This window comes from Homo sapiens, chromosome 8 (assembly GCF_000001405.40).
Source record: "Homo sapiens chromosome 8, GRCh38.p14 Primary Assembly".
Lineage (NCBI taxonomy): Eukaryota > Metazoa > Chordata > Mammalia > Primates > Hominidae > Homo > Homo sapiens.
Window position 1 is genome coordinate 20,291,033 of NC_000008.11, and position 15,928 is coordinate 20,306,960.

Genomic DNA, 15,928 nt, shown 5'->3' on the forward strand with positions numbered 1-15,928 from the left:
ATAAGCCAATCTGAGCATGACACCCACTTTCAGAGCTGAGTCCTGACCTCAGGACACTGAATGGTATCACAGCCGCCCATTCTACATAACTTCATAGGCTTTCAATCTATTTTAACGTAGTCAGATTGACCACATAGATGGAGATCCAGAGTGATCAAGGTACCAACGACTCCTTCCCATACTGTTTCCAGTTAAACCGTCTCCCTTTGCCAGGGTAAACAGATAAGAGGGTAAGGAGGTAGCTCCGCAGGCAGCACAACCTGACCCTAAAGTTGTCCCTCCCTGACCCCCTGGACACCTGCCTCTACCAAGCACTCATGACCCTCCCACACAGGCAACTCAGTCTCATGCCTGGTTTCCTCCCTTTGGAACTGAGGGGAAGAGGGTGAGACTAACATTAACTGAGCTTCTACTATGCTTCATGTGCTTTTACTTCTACTGGCCATATAATTTTCATAAAAATTCTATATGAGGCACAACACATTTTACAAATGAGAAAATTGAGGCTCAGAGAGGCCAAGTGACTTGCCTGATGTCACATAGCTAACAGGTAGCAGAGCCAGGATCTCTCTCGCCATTGTTCCATCTGCGATTGAGCACCCTTTCTGCAGAAAGTAAAGATTGCCTTGCTGAGAGACCTTTTGTCTCCATGCTGACTTTTCTTCACGGCACCAATTACCTATTTGTAACACATTTTACAAATGAGAAAATTGAGGCTCAGAGAGGCCAAGTGACTTGCCTGATGTCACACAGCTAACAGGTAGCAGAGCTAGGATCTGAACACTGATCTATCTGATTTCCAAAATCATGGTTTTTTTTGCCACTGTCCATTCCCCAAACTTGGGCTCAGGATCAACACACAGGAAAAACCTCATGCCTTGTCTTTAGAACTTACCTGCTCTCTCCACCTGCTTCTGAGACTGCCAGCCAGGTGAGGGTGAGTTCCTCTGGGAGACCAGGGAAGCCTGACCTGGGTGGAGGTGTTTCCTGAGGAAGGCCCTGCCCCCAGGGGTCCCCTCTCTGGAAACCTCATGGGACACTGCTACAGCTTTGTCCCCTCCCTTGGCTTGCCAGGTTTTTAGAAGGCAAGATGAAAACGCCTGAGCGGGTACCAGGCTGAGGAATCTTCCAGAGGAAGGTGGGAGATGCTGTTCTGAGAGTTTCATGTCAGTAGGCAAAGGAACCCCTGGCACCCAGTGTGTCTGAGATTGAGGGATGTCCCACCTCTTCTGCCCTGTCACTGACATCCCACCTGGCATCAGGACACGTATCTGCCTCCTGTCTGGAAATCTCTCCCTATGTAGTGTCGCTCTATGGGTAGCTAGCCCTGCTGACTGGCACCCAGCAACCCTTCCATTTTGTTTGGGTTTGGCTTAAGCTGTGCACATATGAGAGCGGCAGAGAACTTGCTTTTCAGTTTTGAAAGTACCGACTGTTAGCAACTGCGACCAGCACAGCCTTTGCTGTCACAGAACCCTTAGGACAGAAAAGGCAGAGGAACAGACGGAAATAAGATGCCTCAAGCACTCAGAGAAACAAGACAGAAGAGTGGTGAGAAAAATACAGAGCGTTGTATCAGCTGTCACAAAAGTCCAGGGGCCCCTTTGATTGGGGTAGGGAGGAAAATCCACCAGGACTGAAAGCGTCTCTCTACTGCTGTGTTCTTGTATGCCCCCTGGGGCAAACCTGCCTACCATTGAGGTCTGAGGGCCTGATGAATTCTGCTGGCTCTTGAGTCCTCATCCACCAGCCCCACAGCACGTTAGTAGAAAGAGCCCTGATGTGGACCATCGATCCTGGCTCTGCCATGTCCCTCAGCCATGGGACCCTGAGAAAGTTCCTTCCCCTCTCTGGGCCTCTATGTCTTCATCTACGTAAAAAATAAAAGCCCTCTGTGATTTCTTTCAGGTCCAAAGCAGGGAGGTATTATCCATGTGTCCCATTAAATAAATAATCCTGGACCCAGCATCTTGACCTTGGATTAGGAACTTCCCTCTCTTTGAAGCCTCGGTCACCCCAGATATTCCCCGGCTACAAGAGGTCTCTGGGAAACTGTGCTATCAACTAGGAGATACGAGATGAAGATAGGTATTCTAATAATGGTATTTCTAGAAAGAAGTCTCTCCACCCTTGAATCTATTCTATATTCCATTGCTAGATTCACTTTCTAAAACCAGGGTCTGCTCTAGGCCGCCCCTCTGCCTCTGACTTCAGTGGTTCCCTGCTGTCTACCAAATAGCATGCACTCTCCCCAGCTGAGTATGCAAGGTGGGTGTGCAAGCGCCTCCTCAATCTGACTCCAACGTGCCTTTCTAGAAAGGTTTCTTTCCCCACCACCTGCTCTTCCCTATCATGGCCACCCCTCCACTTCGTCTGCCTGGAAATCACACCCAGCCCTTGGGGCTCTTCTCCAGCTCTGTATCTTCCATGAAGACTCGGTGCTGATTCTGTTTTGTAGAATGATGTTTTTCTGGATGTTTTGTCTCACCCCCAATACCAGACAAGTGACTCGTTGTGGCAGGGTCTGTGGTTGCTCATCTTGCACCTGAGCGTAGCACAGGGCTGGACATGAACCTAGCCTTCTGTGACTTTCAAAGGATGGAGCTGAAATAGAAAGAGATGGAGCACAGTAGCTCACGCCTATAATCCCAGCACTTTGGGAGGTTGGACTGGGGAGATTTCTTGAAGCCAGGAGTTCAAAACCAGCCTGGGTAATGTAGCAAAACCTCATCTCTACAAAAAAATTTAAAAATGGGCCAGGTATGGTGATACCCACCTGTGGTCCCAGCTACCAGGGAGGCTGATGTGGGAGTCCAGGAGTTCGAGGCTGCAGTAAGCAGGGATTGCACCACTGCACTCCAGCCTGGACAACAGAGCATGACTCTGCCTCAAAAAAACAAATAACAATAATAAATAAATAAAATAAAAAGAAAAAAGAAAATGGAAAGAACTGGGTTCCTGAGGTGTGAAATAAAAGTTCTTGGCAGTGAGTATTTGTGTGTGTGTAGGGGAGACAGGGAGAGGATATGGATAGAGTGGTTTTTAAGCATCCTTTCAACCCTGAGGTGTTGTGTTTGCATGTAGAGTATCTGAAGTTTTTTCAGCACAGGCTCTTTTGTGTCCTGACAAATCTTAGGACCCTAGAGTTGGAGGTCCTGTCTGCGGCTCTAGAATAGAAGTAAGTCCAACATCAAGAAAAAGTTTCTAAGTCAACAGATGTCCGAGGTACTGGTGGAAGCCCAGAGAAGCCAAATGCCTGGTGCTTCTAGTTTGATAGATGAAGAAATCCTGTCTTGGGAATAGCCACGCATCCTGCCCACACCTGCCCCACCAGCCACCAGCCGGCTGCACAGCCTTTGAGCAGGGCCAGCTGCGGGCCTGGCAAGGGGAGGAGCCGAAGGCAGCTGGGGAGTCCTTCCCAGGCCTCCTTCAGGGGCCGGCTCGCTTTACAGTGCAGGTGGAGGCTGGGGGCTCCGCCTGGCTCCTCTCATTTTCCCCACCTGCCTGCAGTGTGGTTTGTCTGCTGGGGCCACGGAGGCGTTGGGGCTGGGGGAATTTGATAGGCAAGGAGGGGGAGGCTGTCTCCTCAAGATGTGTGCGCTGTCCAGTCCATGCTTCCCTCCCTCCTCCCCTTGCACTGTGGAAATGCCCTTTGGGGGTGGCGGGGAGCAGGGAAGAGCTCAAGCTGGAGTGTCTGAAGGTTGCAATAAATAAGGGAAGCTACCCTGAGTGTGTAGATTGTCCTTCTGGACCTCTGCTGGGGATGACCATGGGAGACAGAGGGGAGGGCAGACCCCACACAGGTACCTACAGACACCAGGCATGGGGCTGCCTCTCTGGAAGGTCAAGGGCAGCCTCAGGGCTCATCCCCATATCCCTCAAGAGTCTCCCCATCTCCCTAGCTAGGGAGGCTTCTGTTCTTGGCATTTTCCTATTATCTCCCCCAAGCAGAGTGTGGGAGGCAAGGAGCCTGGGTTGGGGGCCCCAAGAGGTCCCAAGCCAGCTTGGGATGGCATGAGTTCCCTTTCTAACCTCTCCCTGGGTGCCCAAACAAATGTTATCAGTGACTCAGGGAGCCTCCTGTCAAGGTCAGTCTGCCCTGCCTGACGCTGTCACTGCTGCCCGATGTGAGAACCGATTCTGCTTCCTACCTCCTGCCAGCCCCGGCACCATGCCTGGGCATTGGGCAATGGATGAGCTATCAGGAGAGCCCATGTGCCAGGTGGAGATCACCCCCAGCCTTCTGCACAAGGACCACAGGTCTCTTAAGTTTCTGCTTTCCTGGCTGGTCTGTTCTGCAGTGTAACCCTTTCCCTCCCTGGAGTTTCCCACTGAGATTGCAGACCAAGCCCTGTAGATTCCCTTGTGATTCCATCTCCTCTTGCTTGCCTGGCTTTCCAATTTCTGTGGCCCTTGAGTGGCACAGAGAGATCTGAAGTGGCTGGGTAGAAAGAAGCACTGTGGGCCTTAGCGCCATCCATCTCTGCCATTTGGGACCGAGCCCTAGACCATTCCTAAGGCCTGGTGCTATATATCAGATGCGGGACACACATTCTCTTTCAAGGGGCTTATAACCTATGCTGGGAGGGAGGATAGAGATAAAAAGCTAAATATGAATACATGGGAACAAGTGCTCAAATGGGAGTGACAAGTACGTTATACACTGTAGAATTCAAGGAACAGGGAGTTCACAGAGGGCAGAACCCTTCTCTTCCCATGGCTAATGTCCTTTCCTGCCTCCAGACCAGGGGTGGGAAGACACTCAGTAGCAGGTGGACCCCTCTGTCTCCTCCCACTGAGCCAGGACCCACTCACCTATAATGCCCCCCCAATCCAGTGTCACTGGGGTCACCAGGGAAAGGTGCTGGCAAACCCCAGGCCTTGTTTCCCTGCCTCCTTCACGCTGTCTTCCCTCCTTCCCTCTCTCCCCTCTCCTTGCATGTCTATACTCAATTCTCCCTCTTTACAGCAGGAATATAATGTTCGGCTGCCTTACACCCACTCTCTGAATGCTGCCAGCGAATAATGACTAAGGTGGTGGGTGGAAGTACAGCAAGTTGAGACCAATTTAGCAGTCCATGGTGCCAAGAGGAGGGTGATTTAGCAGCAAATGGCTCTGCAGCAGCAAGAAGAGTGAAAATGTCCCCCAAGCCAACAGGCCAGGGAGCCAAGTGCACAGCCCTGCCCTGATGCCTTGGGCGGGGATGGCCTCAGCCACCTGAGAGGTTATTCTGTGAGGTCAGATTCATGCACAGGAATGGGAGGGTTTGAGAACAATGCCCACTCCCAACCCCATCTCACCTCCACTTTCAACCTCCTTGAGGGGCCCCAGTTCTTGTACCCCTCTTAGGCTGAAAGTCTCACCTAGACTGGCCCATCCTCTTCCTCCAGAGGATCTGTAACTCTAATGGGTTCGTGGCCACCTAAAGACTGCCCCAGGCATGGCATCGGGGAGGGGGCTGTCTGAGCTCACCTCAGACCATGCCACAGATTGGCCAGCCCAGGTAGGCAGAGGTGTGGATCTCCCGGGTCCTGACATCTTGGGAGTCTCTGAAGATTTGTGTAATGTGATGTACTTGGGCTTGTGAGTTTGGGTATCACAAGAAAGCACGTCTCAGAGGGAGAGACAATGAGAGTGGATGAATGAAATGGATACGTGTGTGTGCGTGTGTATGTGTGTATGTGTGCGTGTGTGCATGTGTGTGCATGTGCTCTGGCACTGGCCTGAAGGCAGCCCTATCTTCTCCCACAATGATTAACTGACATGAAGCACATCTATTGGCGATCTCCATGGGGCAGCTCTTTGCTGTCTTTGTTCCAGGTGCTGGACGCAACCCACATCACATCTGTTCAGACACCGATTTGGCCTGTCACTTAGTAAGAAAAATCACCTCTCTGCTGGATTGATTAGATCAATTAGCTTTAGCTGTTAGCTAACACACACATTCCCTCTCTGCTTGTCTTCTGTCTCCGTCTTCCGCCTCCCTTCGCTCCCCTCCTTCCCACGATGCTCCATCCAATTCTCTTCTCCCCTGGGGGCAGCCTCCATGTGTGATTGCCCCTGAAGTCTGGTTTCCACAAATTGCTTGAGCTACCAGTGAAGAGACTGCTATCCCATTTTAGTTCAGAACGTACTTGCTCATGGACAAGGTGGAAACACTGAAATATATTATGCAATTAAGGTTGGTATTCCAATGAAATGTCATTAATTCAAATTCTGTGGAGGCAACATTTGCTCTAATTTCAACATGGAGTGGACTAAACCTTTTGAATTGACAAGCTATAAAGAAAGAACTGACATATGATAAATTTCATTCTCTAAAGCAAATGCCAAGTAGACATTCCATTATCCTAGCTACATCCTACTTTATTGTGTTTGTTTGTTTGTTTGTTTGTTTTTGAGACAGAGTCTCGCTTTTTAGCCTAGGTTGCAGTGCAGTGGTGCGATCTCAGCTCACTATAACCTCCGCCTCCCGGGTTCAAGCAATTCTCCCGCCTCAGCCTCCTGAGTAGCTGGGACTACAGGCGTGCACCACCATGCCCAGCTAATTTTTTGTATTTTTAATAGAGATGGGATTTCGCCATGTTGACCAGGCTTGTCTGGAACTCCTGACCTCTGGTGATCGGCTCACCTTGGCCTCCTAAATTGCTGGGATTACAGGCATGAGCCATCACGCCAGGCCCTAGTTTATTGTTTATTGAGCTTAACATATATGCATCACAAGCACTTAGGGAAAAGGGAGATGGGGGGTGAAGTGAGCACAGAAAAACTGAGGAAGATTCGAATGCCCTCATCATGCTTGAATTACAATAAATACAAAAGTAACTGCATTCTTATAATTTTAAAAATCTCTTTTTCCTGCATATTAAACACTTGCCAACAATTCGATGAGCCTAAATCCATTTAATTGGTGAACCCCAATGACTTGGTAGTTACAGCCCAACATTGGGACTCAGAACAGCTGGTGTTCATATCTCAGCATTCCTCTTAAAAATCTTGCATAAACTCTTTCACCTTTCTTTTTTTTTGTTTTTTATTTATTTTTTGAGACAAAGTCTTGCTCTGTCACCCAGCCTGGAGTGCAGCAGTGTGATCTCCACTCACTGCAACCTCCACCTCCCGGGTTCAAGAGATTCTCCTGTCTCAGCCTCCCAAGTAGCTGGAACTACAGGCGTGCACCACCACACCTGGCTCATTTTTGTAGTTTTAGTAGAGACAGGGCTTCATCATGGTGGCCAGGCTGGTCTTGAACTCCTGACCTCAGATGATAAGCCCACCTCAGTCTCCCAAAGTGCTAGGAATACAGGCATGAGCCACCGTGCCCAGCCCTCCTTCAACTTTCAAAGGCGCACTTGGTTTCCTCATCTGCCAAATGGCAAAGGGAATCTTCTCACAGAGTTGTTGTGAGGTGTAAATAATAATAATAATAATTTTATTCCACTTTTTAAAGTGTAAAGTCCTGTACAAGTAAAAAGCGCTATTGAAATCACCATTAAGGAAGTCTAGGGATGGTGGAAGTCAGTGTCCAGCAGGAAGCAACAGTGTGAGGCTGGATGCGGTGGCTCACACCTAGAATCCCAACACTCTGGGAAGCCAAAGTGGGAGGATCACTTGAGGCCAGGGGTTCAAGACCAGCCTGAGCAACATAGCGAGACCTTATTTCTACAAAAATTAAAAACAATTAGCCAGGTGTGTTGGTATGCACTTGTGGTCCCAGCTACTTGGGAGTCTGAGGAGAGAGGACTGGGGATCACTTGAGCTTAGGAGGTCAAGATTGCAGTAAGCTGAGCCGTGATCACATCACTGCACTCCATCCTGAGAGAAACAGCAAGATCTTGTCTCTAAAAAACAAACAAAAAACCAGTGTGAGAGACACAGGATGAAAACTGCAGCAAAACAGAGGGCTTTGCCAAATGGCAAAAGGAGCTAACTAGCCGTAAGCTCACCAGCTATGCTCGACTGTAGCTGACACATCCCCATCAACTTCTCCAACCCTGGGAGGAGGGATCTGGAGGCTAATTTGCACGCTGGCTGGAGGCAGTGGTGAGAGGTGAGAGGTTGAAAACCTCCCATTTTTTATGCACCACCTCTGTTTGGTCTGGGTGGCTGGCCAAACCCAGCATAAGGAGGCAACAGGCTCTGGCTAAGGTTCTTGGAAGAGAGAGCCCTGTCTCCTCAGCTCTCAGCTTGCATCTTGGAGCCATGAACTTGGCTCCTGCTTCGCTGACTCCCTTCATACCCTCCTCAGGTTCAACTTCAAGGTTCAGTTCACAGCCACCTCCTCCCTGGTAAGGAAGGTTCTGGCTCACCTGCCTCCTGCTGAGAAACTGCTGTATTCAAAGTTAGTATTTTAATTGCAAAAACCACAATTACTTTTGCAGCAACCTAATACAATCCAGTTTTCAACTTACTTGTCATTGGTTCAGGTGTGCCAGTTCTTCTTCCCAACTGTCATCACAAATTTTAGTCTCTAAGCATTATTTCGTCTTTTTTGCTGTTATTCCCCACTCCCTGGCACCTCACACGGATAAGACCTTTAATAAATAGTGAAATGCAGAGTTTTTCAAACTTGATCAATGATCTTTAAAAGAAAAACTTAAATCGCCATGGAGCCCCGAGAACACAGGTAGTAATTCCTATATGAGAAATAACAGGGCGATGGAAAGGAGATGGAAGGAGAATCACTTGACTGCGTCGCCTCGGAGAAATCATGGCCAGATTACCTCCCCAAACATGGTAGCAATTCACACTCTCAACTGCAAGCCTAGGAGTGTCCATTTCAGGCTTCAAACTGTAGCAGCACAAAGATCTATTCAACAGCAAACTCAAAGAGCTAATATGTAAATCACCTCAAGATTCCCCACGTAGTTGGATACTTCTTTGTTGGCAAAATCCCAGAAACATCTCATCATTGCCCTGGAACCATGTGGCGGCTCAAAGTGCAGGATTTTAAAACCCCAGGTCTAGGTCACACCTAGAATGGTCCCCTTCCATAACTGTGCTTGTGGGTTGATTGACCTGGAGATAGAGTGGGTGGGGGCGAGTGTTCCCTCGGACTCCCGAACTGTTGGTGGGGCCTGAGATGGCCCCATCTAGGGAGAGGCCTTGAAGGAGCTGGCCCAGTAACAGAGGAAGGAAAGTCAGTGGCCACACTAGCAAAGGGCACCCATGCAGAAATCCACTGTTGGGAACAGTGCTCCCTGCCAAAGGTCTCTGAGAGCTCTCATCTTTCCCCTTACCTTATTAAACAAGCATTTACTAAGGGCATACTCATAGTATCTACTGAAAGCCAACACTGTATTTTTTTTTTCTTTTTTGAGACGGAGTCTCTCTCTGTTGCCCAGACTGGAGTGCAGTGATGTGATCTCGGCTCACTGCAAGCTCCCCCTCCCGGGTTCACGCCATTCTCCTGCCTCAGCCTCCCAAGTAGCTGGGACTACAGGTGCCCGCCACGACGCCCGGCTAATTTTTTGTATTTTTAGTAGAGACGGTGTTTCACCGTGTTAGCCAGGATGGTCTCGATCTCCTGACCTCGTGATCCACCTGCCTCAGCCTCCCAAAGTGCTGAGATTACAAGCGTGAGCCACAGCGCCCCGCCGCCAACACTGTATTTTGAGCTGGGAACTCATGATGCAATCTCTGCTTCTAGGAGTTTTGTAGACTCCTCAGGAGCCAGTGAGTAAATGCCATAATATACTGGTATGATGGTAGGGACTCTGAGGAAGGTACCTGACTCAGAATTGAGGAAAAAACAGAGGAAACTTTCTTGGAGGAGTTGATCCCTATGGTTAAAACCCACAGTGGGGCTGGGTGTGGTGGCTCCTGCCTGTAATCCCAACACTTTGGGAGGCTGAGGCCAGCAGATCACTTGAGGTCAGGAGTTCAAGACCAGCCTGACCAGCATGACAAAACCCCATCTCTACTAAAAATATAAAAGATTAGCCAGGCGTGGTGGCAGGCGCCTATAGTCCCAGCTACTTGTGAGGGTGAGGCAGGAGAACTGCTTGAACCCAGGAGGTGGAGGTTGCGGTGAGCCAAGATCGCACCACTGCACTCCAGCCTGGGCGACAGAGCAAGACTCCGTCTCAAAAAAAAAAAAAAAAAAAAAAAAAGTGGGAGCCAGTTAAGTGGAGAAGGTAGAGAGACCAGGCAGGAATATTCCATGCAGAAGAAACAGTGTTTCTATGTTCAAAGGTAGCAGAATAACATGGACAGAGCCAGGGTCCAGAACCTTACTAAGCTGATCTCAAATCCCTGCCCCTCGGTTTTGTAGCCTGGCTAAATTACTTAACTCTCCTCATCTAATAATTATACATACCCCGCAGGGCTGCAGTGAAAATTAAATGAGATAATGAATAAAAAGTTCCAGGCACACAGTGGATTTAGTGGCTGGCATTAAGTGTTACGGTATTATCCATTACACTGGTCTATAAGGTGCTTACCCATAGGTCTGTCATCATTACATTATTCATCTTCCTAGCCTCGCTGCACAGCTCAGAGCCTTGCATTTGGTAGGCGCCCAATGAATATTTATGAAATGAACGTTGAATAAGCGCAAAGGCATATAAATAAGTTTTCAGGATTAGAAAGCCATTTATATACGTCTGGAGCCCATGTATAGCTTTGCTATACACGCTGACCCACGGCTTCTCAAAACTGAAAGGCACATCTTTCCCTCACACACTCCCAAAGCATTGGCTTTCCCCAGGGCACCCCACGCAGCAGCACTCCTTCTATGACAGCACCCCTGCCCCACATCGACCCAGGCACACACAGCTGGGGGCACCTCCTGCAGATACACAAATGCACAAGCTGAACTGCTGAGACAGGTTTACCTCGTGAAGCACACAGCCGCTGCTATAAATGTTAACTAACAACCATCTTCAGCACATCAAATGTCCCGCCCTCCCTTTTGCTTGCATATAGACACCCACAGAGATGCCCGTTCTTTTTCTACTAGTTTTCTTCTCTTCTTAAGCAGAGTGAGCGCCCCACACTCACATCCACCCAGCTGAGACCTCTTACTAGGACTCCCAGTTGCTCCATCCTATTAGCTGTGGGACCTTAGGGAAAGCCTTTCCCTTCTGACGCCTCCGTTTCTTCACTGGCAGGCACAGAGAGCCCACCGCACCAACCTGGTAGTTATGTTGTGAGGATAAAGGAGATAACGTATGAGATAACGTCTATGATGAGCAGAAAGAGCCTCCAAAGAAAAGCGCTGGATAAATACAAGGTGTAACGCCACGCCTGATTAGCCTGCATGCTCTCTGCCCACAGACTTCTACCCACAGACTATGTTCCACTCCACTCTTAAACACAAACACCTTTCCCGTCTGTACATGCTATCTCTAATACCCATATGCGCACACTCTTCGGGCACCTCCATTCTCCCTCTGGATGCCTGCAGAAAATTGTTTTTGAACTTAGAGAAAGCTCAGGTTGCAAACACCCTCTTGCCGGTACCCGCAGACTCTTCTCAGGGTCTTGGTGCAGGAACTGCCAAGCAGATAGCTCATCTCTTTGTGGCTGGGCTCCTGGGCTCCCAGCATTCCTATTAGGCTGCACTTCCAGCAGAGTGTGGGATCCTTATTAGGAGCAGCGCCTGCCCGGCATGGTCCAGAACTCAGTGCCTCCTCAGTACTTTCCCAGCGCCCGGGACCAGAGAGTAGAGGGGCTGATGGCAGCGGGACGGTGTGGAGGGAATAAGTGAGACAGGAAACACTTTAGGAGGCCAGATCCCTAAGCACTTCTTATTCCTGGGAAATTGAAGACTGCGAAGCTAACAAGTCTGGAGCACTTTCCCAGGCCTGACATACTCGTGGGCGAGCACAAGGCTCATTTGCTCCACAGTTCAAACCTTTCCACTTGGAGCACGAAAAAGAGACATCACCTGGCCCTTGGTGTCTCGGGGATGCCTGTTGCTGCCAAGCTGCGACCTCTGAAGCCCCTCCAGCCAGAGCAAAGCCTGTGGCAGGGTGGAGGGGTGAGGTCTGGCTGCCTAGGGTGGCGGTGGAAGAAGTGAAGGTAGTGTGGGGCTGTCTGTGTGTGCATGGTGCTTTGACTAAATTCCTGAATTGCACATCCAGGACCGACCCCAGGAAGCTGCAGCCCCAGGGAGCCACTTAGACACTTCGATTTACCACCTTCCTCTCTAACCACCTCCGCCCGTGTGACTTATTCCTTGAGGGAAACCTTTCAAATCTCTGGCTGCAACGCACCGGTGTCCTCCCCACCGGTGTGGACACAGCTCATCTGCAAAGTTCCAGGCGGCGAAGTTCAGCGGCCCGGACCGACCGCCGGACCCTCTTCCTGCGGCCCCTGCTCCTGCGGCCTCGCGTCCCCACCTCCCACTTCTTCACCTCCGACACCAGTGTCACCTAACACTGACGTCCCCGCCAGGATCAGCATCGGTGCTGGGAATAGACGAACCCCGTCTGCAGGAGACACGAAGACAAAGACAGGAGGACAGACGCACAGTCACCTCCTCTGGGCCGGGCCGGAGAAGCGGCGCCCACCCTGCAGAGGGGAGACCCTGACAGCTCCACGCGGAGACAAAGACACCTCGACAGCCACGGACACAGACAGACAAAGACCGACGGACGCGCGGACGCACGGACGGTCCGGCCCGGCGAGGGGAAAGCGGTTTCCCGCAGCCAGGGCAGCAGACCCTCCAGGGGCGAGGAGATCCCCGGCCACCGCACCTTACCTGCCCCCTGCGCCTCGGGCGCACTTGAGACTTTTTTTTTTTCCCAGTGTTTCCCGGTGTGTTCCCGTCTCTCTTTTTCCAGAGCTGCTGAGCGGGCCGGGCCGGTCCCACTGCGCGGGATGCAGCTCCCGGCTCCCACTCACTGGCCGAGGCGGGCAGAGAAACTTTCGGCCTCCCCGCCCGGCCGCTGCCAACCCGCCAGCTCCAGGCGCGCCGGCCTCTGCGCGGGTCCCGGAGCCGGGGCGGGGCGGGGCGGGGCGGGGCGGGGCGGGGCCGGCCCGGGGCGGGGCCAGAGCCGGCGCCGCTGATTGGCAGCGAGCTGCCGGCAGCCTGGTCTGTGCCGCTCGGCGGCCTTTGTTCCGGGCTGACAGCTGGGGCTGCTCGCGACCTCGCGGCTCCTTCGCGCCCGCGGCCTGCGCGGGGTCCCGGGTCCCGTCTCTCTGCTCTCACTTCCATCAGCCCCATTGGGCGACCCTGCCCCCTCAGTCTTCCTTTCTTGCCTGGCCCCCTTTCTCCGATTGTTCCTGTCTTGCTCTTGTCGCATCCTTTTTTCCCTTTCATTACCTGAAATTCTTACTCCAGTTTTGTTTAAAATCCATTCCTTCTCCCGTTCTGTGTATGTTCCCCTTTCTTCATTACCCCTTCCTCTTAATCGCCAGTTTATTTTTCTTAATACCGTCTCTCCCGCTCCCGACTCGCACTAAAGGGCGTGTGTTTTGTTCAAGGACTGGACTAGCACCCAAGTGAGGGGCATTGCGAACCACACCAGGATTACAGGCTAGAGTCCAGAGCACCGGGACTCCCACTCCCAAAACATGTCAAAAGCAAACTTTTCCAGCTCTGAGGGAGCTGAGTTTCAGGTGACAGCAGAGGCCTGTTTCAAGTTTATAGCTATTAGTCTCACCCAGTCCCCTTATAATACTATCATTTTCTCAACCACCCTCACTTTTAACTTCTAGCAACTGAGCCAGGAGAGGATTCAAGCTTACAAGGTTTTGTAGGACAAAGGGTCAGTTAACCGGAGTGCTAGGTGCAGCATGAGGCTTGGGGGCTTGAGGGTGCACTGAGGCTAATCCTCTAAAACCAGGCTTGGCGGGAAGATGGCAGCTCTGCCCAAGGAGTGTTAGCCTCATCTTGAAAGAAGCCTGTGTGTGTGTGTGTGTGTGTGTGTGTGTGTGTGTGTGTGTGTTGGGGGGTGGGGGATAGATGTAATGGATTAGGATTGACATAGCCGATCTGATTATAAATAGCATGGGGGCCGGACGCGGTGGCTCATGCCTGTAATCTCAGCACTTTGGGAGGCCGAGGTTGGTGGATCACTTGAGGTCAGGAGTTGAAGACCAGCCTGGCCAACATGGTGAAACCCCGTCTCTACTAAAAAAAAAAAAAAAAAAAAATACAAAAATTAGCTGGGTGTGGTGGCAGGAGCCTGTAATCCCAGCTACTTGGGAGGCTGAGGCTTGGGAATTGCTTGAGCCTGGAAGGCAGAGGTTGCAGTGAGCCAAGATAGTGCCACTGCACTCCAGCCTGGGTGACAGAGTGACACCGTGTCTCAAAATAAATAAATAAATAAATAAATACAAAAAAATTAAATAGAATTGTGGTGGCAGGGGGGACAGCTCAAAGGAAAACAAGCCATATGGTTTCTGCCACACCCCTGCTCAAAACCCTGTAGGGGAATCTCACTGCCTTCGGTTGTTGACCCTGAAGACTCTGACCTTCGAATCTAGGCTTCCTGAAAGATGGCACCGCGAGGGTTTAAGAACACAGACAGGCTTCGCTGCTTGTTATTTGAGCCATTACCTTCCCCTCCCTCTTTCTCAGTTTTTCTTTTTCTTTCTTTCTTTTTTTATTTGTGAAATGAGGTAACAAGTCCCAGTGTAAATTCCCTGAAGGCAGGAACTTGTTCTCTTTTATTGGTGGCTGAGGGACTTGGTCTGTTTTATTCATAGATGTATCCCCGACACCTAGAACTTGCCAGGCAACATAGTAGGCACTCAATATGTATTTGTTAAATGAATGAATTTCTCATGTATAGGTTTGTTCTGATGATTAAATGAAACCCACTGCCTTGCGGTAAGTACATACACGTGGCAGTAATTACAAGCAATACGACAATTTCTAAGTGTCAACCCCAAAGGCTACTCAGCCTTTTCCTGAACATCACCTCCTTTTCCCCACCTTTGTATAAACCTGCCCCTCAGTCTGAAAAGCTTTTCTCCTGCTCTTCTAACTCTACCTCTCAAAATCTGAGACAAAATATGGAACCCTTACTCACACCTTCTCTTATCGTCCAGGGCAAAATAATGTCTTCTTTTTCTAAAGCGCCATGCTTCTTTGTGTTGCATTTATTGACAGAGAACATGTATTCTTGCTTGCTGGTGAGAGTATCTCAAGAATTTTAGCTGAATGAGTTAATATCGATCAAACATTCCAGCGCTTTAAGGAAAGAGCAGACTCCTGGAAGGTAGATTAAGGTATGAGGTGGGCTCCAGACTTCAAACTCATTTTCACATCGTCGGAGGTGAGATTCCATGGAAGAGACAAAGGACTCTGGAAGCCCACTTTTTGTTCTGGCCCTACTGCTGACTATATGCTCTTGGACAAGCCATGTCCCTAATGAGGCCTCAGTTTCCTCATCTGGAAAGTGGATGGTTTGGAGTCCCTGATGAGACCTCAGTTTCCTATCTGGAAAGTGGATGGTTTGGAGTCCCTGATGAGGCCTCAGTTTCCTCATCTGGAAAGTGGATGGTTTGGATGAGAAGATACTCCTTAAGGACCCTCCTTCAGCACTGACACCTTTGTCAGTGACATTCTAGGTGAAAGCTGGGTATGATGTGCAGCCTTCCTGGAATGACTGAGTCAGGCAAAGGGTATGAGCAGTGTGTTGGTTTGTGTATGAGCGGTGGAAATGGGATACCCTATGGAACAACAGAAACACCCTGTGGAAGGGATACTTTAGAGACAGAATGCATAGAGAGTGGGGCTGGAAATGAGAAGGCAGAGTGGAGAAGGAGACCAGTGATGGACAGCACAGCATGTGTGTATGTATTATGGTTCCGTATGTGTGCATGAAAGCCTCAGGAATGTGGTCTCCAGCAGCACAAAGCCATAATTAGCTCCCTGATTCAGCAGTTGGGTATGGTAATGCAATGGCTGGGTGTGTCTACCCCCAACACCACCGGTAGGTTCTCAGTGTGGCTCCTTTTCTTCCTTGTCTA

At 50.2% G+C, this 15,928-nt stretch overlaps 1 protein-coding gene across 1 annotated transcript in view, besides 1 other annotated feature; it reads right to left on the reverse strand.

Annotated features, from left to right (window-relative positions):
- The window catches only part of LZTS1 (leucine zipper tumor suppressor 1), a 57,799-nt gene extending 44,868 nt beyond the window's left edge, over nt 1-12,931 (reverse strand). Inside the window, exon 1 of the mRNA NM_021020.5 lies at nt 12,708-12,931. The gene's annotated coding sequence lies outside the window, so the exon portion shown is untranslated. The remainder of the gene's footprint in view (nt 1-12,707) is intronic.
- Nucleotides 12,921-12,990: a silencer, noted in NCBI's record as "silent region_18972". NCBI's record gives its function as "represses an Ori minimal core promoter by ATAC-STARR-seq in GM12878 lymphoblastoid cells {active_cell/tissue: GM12878}" and the evidence as "EXISTENCE:reporter gene assay evidence [ECO:0000049][PMID:35858748]".